Source organism: Homo sapiens, chromosome 12 (genome assembly GCF_000001405.40).
Source record: "Homo sapiens chromosome 12, GRCh38.p14 Primary Assembly".
Classification (NCBI taxonomy): Eukaryota; Metazoa; Chordata; class Mammalia; order Primates; family Hominidae; genus Homo; species Homo sapiens.
The window spans coordinates 80,172,892-80,189,803 of NC_000012.12; the positions used below are offsets into that span (position 1 = coordinate 80,172,892).

Consider the following 16,912-nt stretch of genomic DNA (forward strand, 5'->3'; position numbering starts at 1 on the left):
ACAAGGACACATGGTGGAGAACAACACACACTGGGGCTTGTTGTGGGGGTGTGGGAGGAGGGAGCACATCAGGAAGAATAGCTAACAGATGCTGGGCTTAATACCTGAGTGATGGGATGTTCTGTGCAGCAAACCACCATGGCACATGTTTACATATGTAACAAACCTGCACATTCGGAACATGTACCCCTGAACTTAAAAGTTGGGGAACAAAAAGTCAGTCATGTTATACTGTCCTGATTAAGCTCCTATCAATATTTACTTTATAAGATTCATATGCCTTTTTTTTTTTTATAAAGGGAGAGCAAGTTTATTAAGAAAGTAAGGAGATAAAGGAATGGCTACTCCACAGACGGAGCAGTGGCCTGGGCTGCTCTACTGAATATACTTATAGTTATTTCTTGATTATATGATAAACAAGGGATGGATTATTCATGAGTTTTCTGGGAAAAGGGTGGGCAATTCCCAGAAATGAGGGTTCCTCCCTTTTTTAGATCACATAGGGTAACTTCCTGATGTTGCCATGGCATTTGTAAACTGCCGTGGTGGTGGTGGGAGTGTCTTTTAGCATGCTAATGCTTATATTAATAATTAGCTTATAATGAGCAGTGAGGATGACTGGAGGTCACTTTCATCGCCATCTTGGTTTTGGTAGGTTTTGGCCAGGTTCTTTACCTCATGCTGTTTTATCAGCAGGATCTTTGTGACTTGTAAATTGTGCTGACATCCTATCTCATTCCATGGCTAAGAATGCCTGACCTCCTGGGAATGCAGCCCAATAGGTCTCAGCCTTATTTTTCCCAGTCCCTATTCAAGATGGAGTTGCTCTGGTTCAAATGCCTTTGACATATTTCTGTTTCACAAGGGTACCCTTAATCCTAAGGGTTGTAGAGGGATGAAGATCCATCTTCTGTAATTTCTTCACGCTGAATAGGGGCGGTGATATTCCTGCCTAACTATTAGGGCATCTTGTAGCCAGGGTAAAGAGGAGCTCAGTCAGAAAGCGTCAGTATGCTGAGGGCCATTTATAACTCTGAGTTCTGACAGAAGGTGTTATCTGGAAGATTAGTAATTGTTCAATTTAAGAAAACATTGAGAAAGCTCATCCTGTATTCCTATATGAAGAGTACAACAGCAATAGATTCCACAACAGTAAAGCAAAATAAGCAAAATTATCCCAAGTAAACAAATTAGAAGGCTTTCCACGAACTGGGCAATTGTTTAAACCATGCTGATTTGGAGTCTCTAGCTGATTCCAACATATGCCCAGAATTAGAATACTGATCCAGATTTTTACATTACCCATCCCTCTTGTTTCTTCTGAGCTGGAGTCAGAGATTCACTGGTTGATTCACAGGAATAAGCAGGGTTAGTCTAAATTACAGGAAAGAAACCTTAAAAACAACTGATGACTAGAATCTAATAACAGGTGTACCATAGTTTTCGAAACAGAATTTTTCTCTCGCCAGTCTCCCATTTTTACTAAAGACAAATCATAATGGGACTGATTTGTTTGCAAAAACAAGCTTTAGTCTTATACTTGGCCTGATTATTTGTATAAAGGGCAGCAAGAACAATTACTTGGGACATAGGATCTTTTTTAAATTGGCTTTGATGGAACTAGTTTAGAGAGTTAAAGGATTGTTTTAAGTTAGAATAAATCTGAAGGTTTGAGCAAGTTGTGGAAGGTTTGTGAAAATTTAATATTGTAAAAGAAATTCTGTGTGAGAACATATTGGCTAAAGTTCAGAGGGGTATTATTGCTTTATTTTATGTATCTCCCAACAGTATTAGCTTAATCTTGGAAGATATCATATCTAATCATCTTTCCAAAATTGTGCTTTTTATTCTTCTCCCCAGTGAGCAGAAGAAAAGGCACCTCACCACACATGACATTATTTAATGCATGTAGATTAGAATATTCCTTGAAGGTGTGGCTTAATTAATCTTTTTAATACATGTGTTGCCCACTTCTCATTACCATCGAGGTGCTGAACATTTCATTTATCTTCAATAAGTGGCGAGGGCTAAAACATGGTAAACAAACAAAAAAAAACTGAGTAAAATACCTGGGAAAGTTTTTAAAATAAAAAAAAACTTAATGAGTGTTTGCCAATCTGAGAGGCAAAGAATGCAGAAGGGTGTCTTATCAAAAACACATATTTGGCTGCAAAAGCATAGAACACACAAAGGCACAACAGTACAGTTTTCCACAGAGACACAGAGATGGTAAGTCTATCATCTCTTCGCTAAATACACTCTTAATGGAAATAAAAACAAGGATGTGTCTGAGTCATCTATTTAGAATTAAATAATGTAGTGTTTAATTTAGTATCTATTTATAAAAATTAAGGCTTTTAAATGATCCCTATCATCAAAGAGTTCTATACAAATTTCTCATCCTTAGGTGTGAAGCTCTCAGATGAACACACATTGAAAATAATAGTGGCATATTAAGATGACTCGAAATTACATAATATAAAGCAAAAACTTCTTATTCAGAAAAATGTGCTGAACTGTGTTTCTAAGGGTGAATCAGTGTTGGTCCAAGTGAATTTACTGAAGTCACTTGTAGCATTGCCTTGCTCTATGAGAAAACTTGCAGATAAAGACTCTTAGATATTACAGAGCATAAAAGGAATAAGCATGACTCGCATTTTTATACAGGGGAATGTGTGTTCTTTTATCTAGGAAAGCAAATTCTTCTTTTCATGCATCCTCAGGTTCTATATAAGCTTTTCCCACACTGAGCTCTTTTTTTTCCCCAGTAACCTGTGTCAGACTGAGTGACTTGGCAACTCTATGCACTTCAGGTGTGGTTCTTGTCTGGGGCCTGGTGATGAAACCAGTATCAAGGTTACTGGCATCCTGCCTGATTCACTTAGAAGTAGCTCTTGTCTATACCAATATGAAGGTTGAGGTTTCAATGTGACTGCTTAGATTTAGATATCTATTTGAACAATGGTTGAAGGAAGTTCTTTAAAATGAGACTTTGGAAGAATTGAGGTTGACTTGAAGACAGAAAACAAAGCTATTAGTGATGCACAGATAGGATTTTAAACAGTAAATATAGGCATGTCAGTGACTGATTATAAAATCTAATCACTAACTACTCTTCGTTAAAGGAGATAAAACCATTTCAGCTATGGATGGCTAGCAAAGAAGTAGGAGTCTCAGTTTTCTACTCTGCTATAATTTTTGCCCAAGTTGAACAACTAGTATTCATCTTCTAATAGGAATATTCAAAGAGTTCTAGTCGCAGAAGTTTTCAGGCTTTACTGCATTTGCTGATGTCCATTTCACGTATATGATACTTTCTGCCAAACTCTGGTCTTATTTTTCAAACAGTTTTATTGAGATATAATTTACATATGTTAAACTGCATGTATTTAAGGTGTACAAATTTAACATCTGTACAACTTATTAAGCCATCACCACAACAAAATAATGAACATTTCCATCATTTCCATATGTTTCCTTGTGTCTCTTCGTAATCTCTCTTTCCCATTCCCTTTAGAAAATCATTCCTCCTCCCTAGGCAACCACTGATCTACTTTCTGTGTCTATAGATTAGTTTGCATTTTCTAGGATTTTATAAAAATGGAATATATACAGTGTGTTCTCTTTTTTGTCTTTTTTCACTCAATATATTTTTTTGAGATCTATTCATATCCTTGCATGTACCAATTATTTTTTATTGCTAAGTAGTATTCCATTGTATGGATATACTTCAATTTGTTGATCCAGTCACATATTTGGACATTTGGGTTGTTTTCAGTTTCTGGCTATTACAGTAAATTTCTGTAAGCATCAATGTATATATTTTGTGTAGTTAGATGCTTTCATTTCTCTTGGGTAAAAACTTGGGTATAGAATCATTGGGTCATATAGTAGCTGCATATTTAATTTTTTTTAAAAAAATTGTCAAACTCTTTTCCAAAGGGGTTGTACCATTTTACGTTCTTATAAGCACTGTGTGAAAATTCCTGTTGTTCTCCATCATTGCCAACAATTCGTATGATTGGTAATTTTGATTTTAACCCATATTTTTCTAATGACTAATGATGTTAAGCATCTGTTCATGTGCTTGTCATCCATTTATCTTCTTTTGTTTTTCCTATTTTAAAAACTGGGTTGTTTATCTTATTGAGTTGTAAAAATTGTTTATATATATTGTTTATATAGATCAAAGGCCTTTTTCAGAAATGTTTTTCAAATGTTTCCTCTCAATGTTAAAGAGTATTAAAATTTGATGAAATAAAATATAATTTTATAGTTCATGTCTTTTTATATTTAAGAAATCTTTGCAAAAACCAAGGGAATGAAGATTTTCTCCTAAGTGTTCTAGAAATTTTAGCTATTAATTTAAGGTCCACGACCCGTTTCAAGTTAACATTTGTATAGGTTGTAAGGGGGTGGTTGTCATTTCTTAATCACATGGCTATCCAGTTGCTACAACACCATTTGTTAAAGAGATTATCCTTGCCCCATTGAATTGCCTCAGCACCTTTTTTGAAAACTAATAGACCATATATGTATGATATATCTCTTGATTCTTTATTTCATTTTATTGATCTCATTGTCTGCCTTAACACAAATACCATACTGTGTGAATGATTTTAACTTTATAATAAATCTTGAAATCAAGATTGCAAATCTTTAACTTTATCCTTTTTTTTAAATGAAAGTTGTTTTGGTGATCTTATGTCTTTTGCATTTCTACAAAAAAGCCAGTAAGATTGTGTTTGGGATGACATTTAATCTATAGATCAATTTTGGGGGAAATTATATCTAAACAATATTCAGTCTTCTGATCCAAGAATATGGTATATACCTCCATTTCTTTAGGTCTTTAATTTTTTTACAACAATGTTTTGAAGTTTTCAGTGTACAGGTCTTACACATATTATATTTGTCCTTTTGAGGTTGCTTTTAAGCTTGTTAGGATGAATCAGAGCAACCTTTAGTCTAGGGCTAATTTTCTCCACTACTGCAGTAATACTCTTCTGAATATTCCAGCTGATGCCCTATGAATTACAAGATTTTTCATTGTGTCTTACAGAAACATGAGTTATTTCTAGCCTTATATGAGTTTTGGAGATTGTTCTCTCAATTCTTTTAGTTTTTTTCTGTTTTTTCTATTCTATTCTTTTCTTTCTTTCTTTCTTTCTTTTTTTTTTTTTTTTTTTTTGAGACAGAGTCTCTGTCATCCAGGCTGGAGTGCAGTGGTGTGATCTCGGCTCGCTGCAGCCTCTGCCTCCTGGGTTCAAGTGATTCTCCTGCCTCAGCCACCCAAGTAGCTGGGATTACAGACACCTACCACCATGCCCGGCTAATTTTTGTATTTTTAGTAGAGATGGGGTTTCACCATGTTGGCTAGGCTGGTCTCAAACTCCTGACCTCAAGTGATCCGCCTGCCTCGACCTCCCAAAGTGCTGGGATTACAGGCATGAGCCACTGTGCCCAGCCTTTTATATGGTATTTTTGGTTTTGCTTTTGTTTTGGCCAACCTCAGGTATTATGTACTTCCAAACATGCACAAATCAATACTCAAATGAATACTCAAGAGGCACCTTTTGCAGATCTTTCTGTAGTTCTCTATTTTTTAGTACTTTTCCATATAAACTCTAGATGCCTTGGCCTTCCCTGCCTCTCAGTCCTGTCTCCTTAACTTAGAGAGATTACGGGCTATACCTGGGTGCTCTCTCCCTACACAAGCAGTAAGCTGGGACAATCAAAATGCTTACCACACAGTTTGTCCTCTCTCAGTTATCACTGTCCTGTGTTGCCTGATGTACAGTATCTGAGTATGTTTCATATATTTTGTACAGGTTTTTAGTTGTTCCAACTGGGGAGTTAAATCTGGTCTCTGGTACCCTAACTACCAGAGCCAGAAGGAATATTTAACTTTATAAATCGTTCTTTTATCCTTATCTTTTGCCATTTGTACATTTGTATTTTGAAAGCTACTTCTCACTGCCTAGTGTGGAAATTAAGGACTCTTTCATTTTAATTATTGCTTTTGAGGTAGAAGTTTTAGGTAAGACTCCAAGCTCAGTAGAGAATCGGAATATAATATTGAAACTGTTGTGGTTTATTACTGACACATTGAAGCTTTCTAAGAAGAGTAAGGCAGGCTCTCAGGCAGGTCTGAAAATAGTTTGTGAAAGCAGGGGAAAGGAGACTGGCTTGGTTTTTATTGTGATGGGGGCGGTGGGGGCTGGGGTAAAGTGACATCTCACTGGAGCAGGCTTATGTGGTCTGAACTTCCTGCTGGGGCCAAAGGAAGGAATACTCGAGCTTTCTTATTAGTGTGCTCACATGTGGGACAGGAGAAGGGCAAATGGTGACACTTGAAAGTCATCAGCAGACAAACATTAGAAATAGAGTCAGGCTCTTAATTATAACTCACTCCTGATGTTGACTGATGAAAGAAAATGGGCCATGCTTCATTAAACTGAATTTGATCTTATGTAAATCAGTCATTATGGCTTTCTATAAGGCCTGTAGCCTGAGGGCACTAATGGAGGTGAAAACTTCTTAAATACCTTTTAAAAAAAATAAGGAACCTAAAATTAAACGCCTTGGTCACTTCAAGTAATGTTTCAAACTCCAAAGGGGATAAAGAGTGTTATAATGAGGACTTATGTCATGGCTTTAGTATGTGCAGAGACATGTAAGACCTTTAAGGCAAGAGATTCCCAGGGTTCTTTACCCTAATGGAGGCATCTTTGAATAAGGAATCATTGATGGACTAGTTGGACAGACCATTGGTGTTGGCTTGAGAGCCTGAAAAAATGTGGCCAGGGCATTCAGTGCTTAGATGACTGCATGAAGTTTGGCCAGTTTTGCTCACTCTTGGACAATTTTGCCTGTCCTTGACTTGGGACATCCTGGTTGAAGCAGCAGCTCTACAGTGAGCATCCATCATGTATTGGTGGTGCTGCTATCCATGAAATATACAAACTCCTTTTGCTGTTCACTCAGTTGTTCTCAAGGGGACCCATAGGTAGCCAAACACTCCGTGAGAGGAGGAGTGACCTCCTCCAGAACTATGGAGTTTGACAAAGATCGAAGACAAAAGAAGCCACTGTATCCTGCAGGTGGGATATGCCAGAAGATGTAGTCTAAGCTGTATCAAGGTTTGGTTTTATCCTACAAGTGCTATTACTATTTTAGTAAGGAGGCCTTGGTGGCCACGATGAACCTGCAGATTGCTACTTTCATATTCCAAGGCATAATGGCCATCTGGATATGGAGGGTCATAGGCTCTGGGCCTAGATGAATCTGCAGGTTGCTACTTTCATATTCCAAGGCATAATGGCCATCTGGATATGGAGGGTCATAGGCTCTGGGCCTAGATGAATCTGCAGGTTGCTACTTTCATATTCCAAGGCATAATGGCCATCTGGATATGGAGGATCATAGGCTCTGGGCCTAGGATGACCTAGTATGTGGCAAGTGACTTCCCCTCCAGTGGTATTTAGCATGTAGCTGAGGAGAGCAATTTTTAATATCAAAAGCCCATGGGCAACTTTTGGCCATCATGTCATATGTGGTCCATAAACTCTAACAGGTATGAGAGGAGTTTGCAAAGGCCTCTGCAGTGAAGGAGTCTGTGGGGGAACACTAAGGGCAGTGCTATTGTACTTAAACAGAGAAAGGAGCCTTTTGTTGTGGAAGCCCCATTTAAGGTGGGTCAGTTTGTGAGAAATCGTGTAAATGGGCTTAAATTTTAAAATGAGGAATATATTACCTTCAAAATCCAAAAGACCTAAAAGGTGTTCAGCTTGTTTTAGTGTTGTAGGTACTGAGAGGGCCAATAATGTTTTTTTTGCCAGTGTCAAGGATGGAGTGGCCCTGACAGTGTCAAGGAGGGGGTAGTTTACCAAATAATTTTCAGGAATTAAACCAAGGTGCCATGAGCTTGTATAAGGTTATGTATGGGTCAATGATCCATCCCCTTTTTGTGAACCTCTTTGTGAGGATCTGTATTTCCTGAATGAGTGTGTCAAATGAATGCCCTTGGAGGAAGAGTTATCAGTATGCTGTAACTATGGGGAATTTAGACAAGGCAGTAGTTCTGGTGGTTAAGGTGAGGCATATGGGTTTGACCTCTAGTCCATGTTCAATAGCTTCCCTTAGGGCAAAGAGGTTATCTTGTTCAAATTTAGCAGTATGTCCAGGTATAACTAGTTTGAGCTCCATTATTATGAGCATGAAGGTTTGTCAATTGGTACATTTCAGCAGATATTACAATTAGTTTAGATCCTTTGTTGTAGAAGCATAAAAACCAATTAGCATACTTTTTTTTATTTATTGTATAAATTATTTTAGTTTGGGGCTTCAATTTCCAATTGGGTCCAATTGTGGGCCTGTGTTTCAGTTTTTTGTTTCCTCCCCTTACCCCTGTATTTAGATTTTTCTTTTTAAATTTACTTCTCTCTCTCTCTCTCTCTCTCTGTAATAATTACCTTACAGCAGACTGGCCCACCCCCTTTGGTGGTTATTGAATATACTTTGGTGGGGGTGAAGTGTTCTCTTTTCTATTATGCTGGTATTGTAAGTTTCTTCCCCTAGGGAGTCTCCAATCATTGTCATCAGGATTAGGGTCCTCCTGCATGGCAATGTTTGCTTTATAGAGTTTAGAGACTCGAGGTTTAAGTTGGGTTTGAATTAATCCCTGGTTGTACCGTTGGAGTATCATAGGTGTTTTCTACATAACCCTGAGGATCAAGATTTTTTTTTTTGGCTGTAAAGTCATAGGCAACAGCATCAGCAAAGGCATTTCGTAGGGTCCTAGTGAGCCTATCTGCTTTAGGGGTATGACTGCAGCATGCCACATGGTGACTACTCTTCCTTGCATAACTGACCAAATATAAATGGTTTGTATACAATGTAAGTAGGCTTGTATATATCATAGGTTCTCTTTCTCCTGAGCATTCTATAGAATTAGGGCCAATGCCTGATTGAGACATATACTTTACATAGGCTGGGCATGGTGGCTTACATCTGTAATCCTAGCACTTTGGGAGGCTGAGGCAGGAGCATTGCTTGAGTCCGGGAGGTAAAGACCAGTCTAGGCAACATAGTGAAACATTGCCTCTACAAAAAGATAAAAAACAAGTAGCCAGGTGTGGTGGCATAGACCTGTAGTCCCAGCTACTCAGGAGGTTGCTTGAGCCCAGAGGTTGAGACTACAGTGAGCCATGATCACGCCACTGCACTCCAGTCTGGGCAACAGAGTGAAACCTTGTCTCAAAAGCAATTTTTAAAAAGGGGGTAAAAAAATTAAAGAGACGTATACTTTAAATGAGCTCCAATCACATATTCTTGCCCCTAAATGTTATCAAAACTTCCTACTCATGTCAGTGAAATCTATAACAGAGGCTTGGTACGACTCAGCAAATGCAGCAGAAAGCATCACAGCTCAAAGTGAAAACTTGCCAGCATGCTAGACAGCAGGCAATAGAGCCAGTTAAATCCAACTGACCCAATAAGTTTCCTTTAAAATATCTATACCAATTTGCATCACCATAGGAAATGAAAAGTTAAATAGTGCATGATTATACTAAACCAAGGAGCTCCTGGCTTACTATAAGAGATGAATTAAAAAAATAATTGTAATGCAGTGTGATCAATTGACATAGAGGTTGGTTGAAGGCATAAATGAGAATAGGTGGCTTTTCCAGGGTAGAGAAGGAGGTAGCAGAGAGCCTTCAAAGAAAGAAACACTTGTGCTGGTCTAGAAGGAAGATTATGAATTTTTCAGATAGAATGCAGTAGGGATGGAGTGGATTGGAATCAATAGCTGAGAGAATTGCACATGTGAAATATGTGCAATGATACATTTGAGTAATGTAAGAAGCTCAGGATGGCTGAAGCATAGGGAGTACACATCAGCAGGTAGGCTGAAGCAGATATGTAGATGTTTGTACTTTATTGAAGGAAAACCACAATAAAGTTTGCACTTGGAAAGATCACCACGGCAGAAATGCATGAATAGCTTAGAGAGAAAGTCTAGAATCAGGGAAACCCAAGGCTGCTGATAGCCCATGTGGAACTTTTGTACAAATTAGAAAAGAGTACCCTCTCTCAAGTTACTTTTTACTTCATTTTTTGGAAAATGTTTATATCAATAATTACCTTACAACAGACATTTTACTGAAAAGTGAGAAAATTTTTATAAAAATATATAATGCTTACAATACAATTGGTGCCTTCATCAACAGTCAAGTGTAGGGACTGTGCAGAGCACACACTGCATAAACATGTATCACTGAACTGTGGAGACCAACTAGGTAATTACTGCAATAGCTTAGATTGGAGATGACAGTCCTACTGAGGTAGTATGTTCTCTCTCTCACTCCCTTTCTCTCTCTCTCAGCAAATAGCAGCAATAATTCAAGGGCTTGTGATTTATGTTTCCTCAGATTTGAAACAATAGATATAAGATTTGAAGTAGTAGGACTCTTAAGATGACTCCAAGTTCTTTTGGCTTTTTGTTTCTTTTGGTCTTGAGAAATCAGGTGGATAATTACGTCTATCACCTACTAAAATGGATAATAGAGATAGAATCAGGATGTTTTTGGGAGGAGTATATTAGGAAATGATGAGTTCAATTTAGTTTCTGACATGCTAAGTTTGTAGTCTTTGTGGACTTACCTATAGGCAATTAAATGTGTTGATCTGGAGCTCAAGAAAGAGAATGGGCCAAAGCCATAGACTTCATAGTCACCAACACATTGGTAGTTGTAAAAGACACAGGAATGTGTAAGATTCCATGAGCTTTAGAGCATCAAGATTGATGCTTGGCACCATCCTACCAAATAGGTTAGGATAGGCCGAGGGATGAATGAGGTTAGGGCTGCAGGTTGGAGGTCTTCAGCTGGCTGTTGGGAGGCATTAGGGCAGATGGAGATGAACAAATAGGACCCTTGCTCCATAGGAGTGTTTCTCAAATTGTAGTCATTGGACAAGTGGCATCGTGATTCCCTAGGGACATTTCATTAATAGTATATATTCCTGGCTACTAGTGCTGTTGAATTATAATATCTGGATGTGGGACTCTTTTATAGAAACTCTTTATGGGTGATTATTATGTATATTAGAGTGTTCTCTCTTCAAATAGGTCCCTTTTTCCCATAGTTATGGTACTTGAGACTAGATCAATTTGCTTAGTAAGCAAAACTGTAGTTTATGTTTAAACTAGGAATGGAAAATATGTAGCATGTGGCCTTGCATTTCCGTTTCCTATACTAACGGCAAGCCCTTTTCTGTTCAACCCAGTCATGACCTTAAACTATTTCTCAATGCTCTGCTTCAGGCAGATTCTACTAAGCAATGAGTTATCAGGCTAGATGAAACACATTAGCCACACCAGGCTTAACTTCTGGCTATATAAGAAGACAAGACACTTTTAGTGTTAACACATCACTTTAATTTTTTCCTTTTCCACTATAGTTAAGTGGCAGAATAATATATATCTTAATATTTTTCATTCTAGCTAATGTAAAGGAGTTGATAGTAAAAGACGTATTTTTTTCTCTCCCATACTGAGAAGGTTTTACGTCTTAGAGATCTGGGTTTCATTAGCCTCATTGACAATTTAATAGACAAAAATTGTTTTCTAAAGTCTGAAGCTAGACTTTCTAGGAAAGGGAAGATTCTTAAGGCTGGGAGGAGGAAGATAATGGCCCTATTTAGGGGAGAGAGTAATGAGCATTCCTAAAATTGAGATAATCTGAGTGGGCCCCTGTTGCCCATAGTGCTGGAGTCATGTAATTGTTGAGTGTCCAGGAAGGCTGGACTCCAATAACTGTGCCACTGAATCGGTGTTGAGGATTTCATTGGTTGAGTTCATGAACAGACAAAAGGAGGAGCCCCTTTGAGGCTGCCTAATACCAGGCAAATTGGATGACAAAAAGGGTCAAAAATAAACGTGGCTCCTTGGCTTCTCCCTCCCATTTATTTTCTGGCATCTTATAAGTCAGTATTCTTGTATGATGTCATGGGAGGAGGAACTGCATCTCCCATATGACAAGTATTGGACTGTTACTCATCTGCCTTGATGTGTAGGGGTTCAGAGATAGATTTAATTTAATTTTAGAAAAACGAAGTAGTATATCTTTTCTTCAACCTACTAATTTATCCTCTATATATGGAGGCAACACAGTTTCCTGATTCAAGACACTGCCCCGGATGCCAATGCTCTGTTAACACATGTAAATGGCATCCTAAAGTGGAGCATGAGACATATAGAGAGGAATCAGGAAAATGGGCTGGTATAATGAGACAGGCAATGTGAACAGAGAGGAAGTAGGCATAGTGGTTAGGTACACTGGCTCTGAGGTCAGGCTGCCTGGGTTATAATGTAAGTTCTGCTATATTATAAATTAATTTTTTTTTTGAGAAGGAGTCTCCCTCTGTTGCCCAGTCTGGAGTGCAGTGGTGCAATCTTGGCTCACTGCAACCTCTGCCTCCTGGGTTCAAGTGATTCCGATTCCCCTGCCTCAGCCTCCCAAGTAGCTGGGATCACAAGTGTGCACTGCCACGCCTGGCTAATTTTTATATTTTTAGTAGAGACAGGGTTTTGCCATGTTGGCCAGGCTGGTCTTGAACTCCTGATCTCAAGTGACCCACTCACCTTGGCCTCCGAAAGTACTGGTATTACAGGTGTGAGCCACTGCACCCGGCCAAATTAGTGTTAATGTCATTGTGTTTCAGTGTCCTCATCTGTAAAAAGGGATAATAATGGCATTGCTTCATAATCTTGTTTTGTTAATCATAATATAAAATGAAATGATGTGTATAAAACTTTTACTTTACTGCCTAGCATATTAGTTTTCAGTAAATATTAGTGATCTGCATTTTACACATGGGTCCTATGTGCTTACTGAAGATGGCTGTATCTTAAAGTCTATATAGAAAAATGTAATTATCAGGATTGATTAATTGCTGCTTATTCTAATTTATTCACAAAAGGATTTGAGGTGGCACTACATAAGATACAAATATAAAAATATTAGAAAAAAGGGACAAATAAGAAGAGTTAGATGAGATCAAGAAGATATAGAAACACAGGCCACTAAGGCCCAACACTGCACCTGCAAGTGGGCCATATATTCAGCACTGGGCTTTCAGGTAAGCATTTAGGGCTTCTTTTCCAAGGGTGTCCTTAAAGTCATACCCTTCCTATATTTTTATCTTTTACCCCTTATATCTTGGCAACTTAGTCACATCTCACGCTCTCTGAAGGGAAAATGTGTTCAAAACCAAATTCATTATGTTTGCTTCAAAACAGTTGTTTTTTTCTTTCTTCCTAATTTTGGTTAAAGGCTCTACCATATGCCCAGGTCTGAGATGTGAAACTCTGGGTTTATCTTGGTCCCTTTCTCCCTATATCAAGTCCATTAAAGTCCATCTTTCCTACTTAGCCGCGTCTCTCCCATCAGGTGTCATCTTCCCTTTCTCTCTGCCATCCCTCTGGCTTAGATCTTCATTACCTCTCGGATGTCTCTTGTATTATTTTCCTGTCCATGTTTCCCTCTGCTCTTTGGTCTCCCTGTTTCAATCTCTCTAATGCATCCCTAACACATGTATCTTCCCCAAACAGAGTTCTAATCATATGATTCACTTGTTGAAAAACTTTGAGAGGCTCCTCACTGCATTTCAAATAAAGAATAAATGCCTAATCGTCAAGGGACCCTCACGATCTCATCCATTCTTTATTTTCAGACGTATCGCTCACCACTCCCAAACACATGGCAATGTTTTAACTGCTCTCCCCAACTCTTCTCTCCTTTCCTGTTCCTGCTTGTTTGGGGAGGTCTTATTAATCTGTGTTATCCCATGTAATAGAGTACAGTGCCTTGCTTAAGAGTTCAGTTAAAAACTGTTTGAAGTTTTGCTTCCTGTGAATTCAAAACCCATGGAGTGCTGCCCTCTTTTGGCTAAGATAGCACAGAGTCCAAAGCACCACATAGGAAATGATGCTGAATGACTCATCTTTTCCTTTGGGTTAGAATCCTCATGGAAACAAACAAGGCAGGGTGAAATGATTCCATCCTCTTTTCCCATATTATCTAGCTTCAAAGATTGTTTGTTTATGGAGATAGAAAGAAGATAAAATTCTGTATAGAAAACTTGGAACTCGACTAATTCAGATAATATATTATGTGTAAACTCAGAGCTGGGGCAAAGCCAGTAGTTACTTTGAACACATCCAGAGCTCCAAGAATCTTCAGGCCTCAACACGGACTTTTATATAAGAGGTAAGGGATGAGAAAACAACAGGGTTCCCTAAAGGCCTCTTCACATTAAGAACAGCTTCCTGATTTAGGGACGACTTAGGCAAGTGGCCAGGTTGTTTTTGTTTTTTTTTTTTATACCGATACTTAGTATTTGGTGAAGTAAGAAAAATAGGGCCTGGCCTAGGAGGTAAAGTTTACTTCTGCAGACCCTGCTGGGGCCAATCTGTGGCCATACCTGAGCCAGTCCTGAAGATCCAGCAGAAATATGGAGGAAGGATGACACGAAGCCCAGGAAGAGTAATACATTTTTAAGAAAGGACGACAGGATGAGAGGTGCACAGAAAAAAGCTTCCGAGTGGATGCCATCTCCTGATTACAATATGAATATTCTGGGGTTGTTAATTTTATAAAGTTATAACCACATCTTTATTACTAATCACATTGAACCTCACTAAGTATAAAGACAATGAATAGTAAATATGTATGCATTATAAATAACTGGAAAGCTCAATTAAGACAGGCCTTGAGCTTTATCTCAAGTGTCAATAAAATCAGACTTCCTTGGATCTGAAAGGGACAGTCATTCCAAAACTGAAACTCAGTGGGTGACAGGATGCCCACACCTCTTGGAGGAGGACAGAAAGGTTTGTGGGCTGGTGTCAGATACAAGCTTGGCACCATCTTTGATTAGGAGCTAATGTTAGCAGAAAGATCAAGTGTCAGTCATGACCAGAGTTGTTTTCTACTATCTTGAGAAGGTCACCGGATTGCTGCCCCTTCGTTTTTGAAACCTGATCTGGGGACCACAAACAGCCACAATGAATTGGATTACTGCCATGTGCTCTAAATTGGGCTGACAAGGCTGACTCAGTGCCAGGAGTTGACACAGGATGCAGCTTGAAATATTCACTTGGGGAGAGGGTTGAGATTTCTTTTTAATTGTCAATGATGTTATTTGAAGAGATAGGATTGAATATGAACACTGAGGAGTGAAATAAATATTTGTCATGCACTTGGATAGAGAAGATCCACAAAGGTCAGAAAATTTTCTGTGTTAAATTTTATGTTCTGGGGATTACTTGGCTATACTGGGAGGCTGCTGTTCCTTTTAAAAAGAGGTGAGCGGTGGTTCATGCCTGTAATCCCAGCACTTTGAGAGGCCGAGGCGGGCAGATCACGAGGTCAGGAGTTCGAGACCAGCCTGACCAACATGGTGAAACCCCATCTCTACTAAAAATACAAAAATTAGCCGGGTGTGGTGGCATGCGCCTGTAATCCCAGCTACTCAGGAGGCTGAGGCAGGATAATCACTTGAACCTGGGAGACAGAGGTTGCAGTGAGCTGAGATCACACCACTGCATTCCAGCCTGGGCGACAGAGTGAGACTCTGTCTCAAAAAAAAAATAATAATAATAATAATAAATAAATATAAAAAGGTGAGCCTTCTCTTTAGCATTATAAGCATAAAATTTGTTCAAATGTCCATAAAAAACAAAGGAAACTCCCTCTTATGTGCAAGGATATGTACAAACATAAACACAGTTTCTTTTATTTGTATGTGAATTTGCAAGCAGCACCTCACTAGAGCTGAGCTTTTGTTATATAAATAAAGCCATCTGGTATATCCAAAGAATTTCAGTCTCTAGAGAATAGGATCATAAACAATCGATCCTCCACAGACCTTTCAGTATTTTTGTTTGAGTAAAGTTTCCCACAGCTCTGCTTTAATTATTTTATCTGTTTTTAATCTTCTAAGGATTTTATAATTTATAATTAGCCATGTCTCTCCCTTCAGGTGTCATCCTCCCGTTCTCTCTGTCCTCCCTTTGGTTTAGATCTTCATTACTTCTCAGATGTCTCTTGTATTATTTTCCTGTCCATGTTTCCCTCTAATTTAATGTCTTTGTGTGAGTGCATAGGGAGAAAGTCTACTCCACCATTTTTTGGCAATGTGAAGAACAGTGCATCCTTTAAGGCTTTTTGGTTAATGTATCATAAATAGATACTCAGATTAATAGAGTTTGGAAGAAGGAAGTATAGGATTCCATTTTTCTGATGGGAAAATGAAACATGGAGAGCTAAGTTCAAGGTCCCATGTCCCACAACTATTAACTGCTAAACATAATCCAGATTTTGTGAATCCCAGTTGAATAATCTTTTACTCAACATTGTCTTTAACTTAATGTTTATTTTCTTTTAGGCATGGATATCAAGCATGCCTCTGAGTAAAACAAAGAGAATCCAGTCTTTGACCAATTGACCAAACAAGACCCAAGCAGCTGGGAAGTTTGTCAAGTCTCATAAGAATGAGGTTGGATTTTTTTTTCTTTAACTTCTCCTGCCCCCTTTAGCAAAAATTGTTTAGTACTAATTCATTTCTTGGAAGAAGTGAATTTCTAGGAAGCTTCTGAAATGACAATATAGTTATCTGAAAGACCAAAAGAGATAGATTGCAAAACTCATATTACTGAATGTTGGGGCAGTTTAACACTAATGCCTGAGCCCCATACCTAGAAAGTAGAATTTCATTGGCCTAGATGGGGCTCTCCAAGATAAATCGAAATATGCAGGCTAAGTTTGAGAATGACTATTTGATGCACCTGGAGCATATCATTCACAAGGACAGCAGGTCTACAGATTCTCATCTTTCTCCTAGGGTG

The 16,912-nt window shown here is 38.5% G+C and overlaps 1 protein-coding gene across 4 annotated transcripts in view, besides 1 other annotated feature; it reads left to right on the plus strand.

Moving 5' to 3' along the window:
- The window catches only part of OTOGL (otogelin like), a 281,344-nt gene that overhangs the window by 73,355 nt on the left and 191,077 nt on the right, over window positions 1–16,912 (plus strand). For 3 of the 4 annotated variants that reach the window (NM_001368062.3, NM_001378610.3, XM_005268802.4), the window contains one exon: window positions 16,453–16,563. The exons of the other annotated variant lie outside the window; for it this stretch is intronic. Coding sequence is in view for 1 of the 3 variants with exons in the window: in XM_005268802.4 (XP_005268859.1) it covers window positions 16,559–16,563 (5 nt within the window). In the remaining 2 variants the exon portion in view is untranslated. The remainder of the gene's footprint in view (window positions 1–16,452; window positions 16,564–16,912) is intronic. 4 annotated transcript variants of the gene reach the window in all.
- Window positions 6,168–6,227: a silencer, noted in NCBI's record as "silent region_4684". NCBI's record gives its function as "represses an Ori minimal core promoter by ATAC-STARR-seq in GM12878 lymphoblastoid cells {active_cell/tissue: GM12878}" and the evidence as "EXISTENCE:reporter gene assay evidence [ECO:0000049][PMID:35858748]".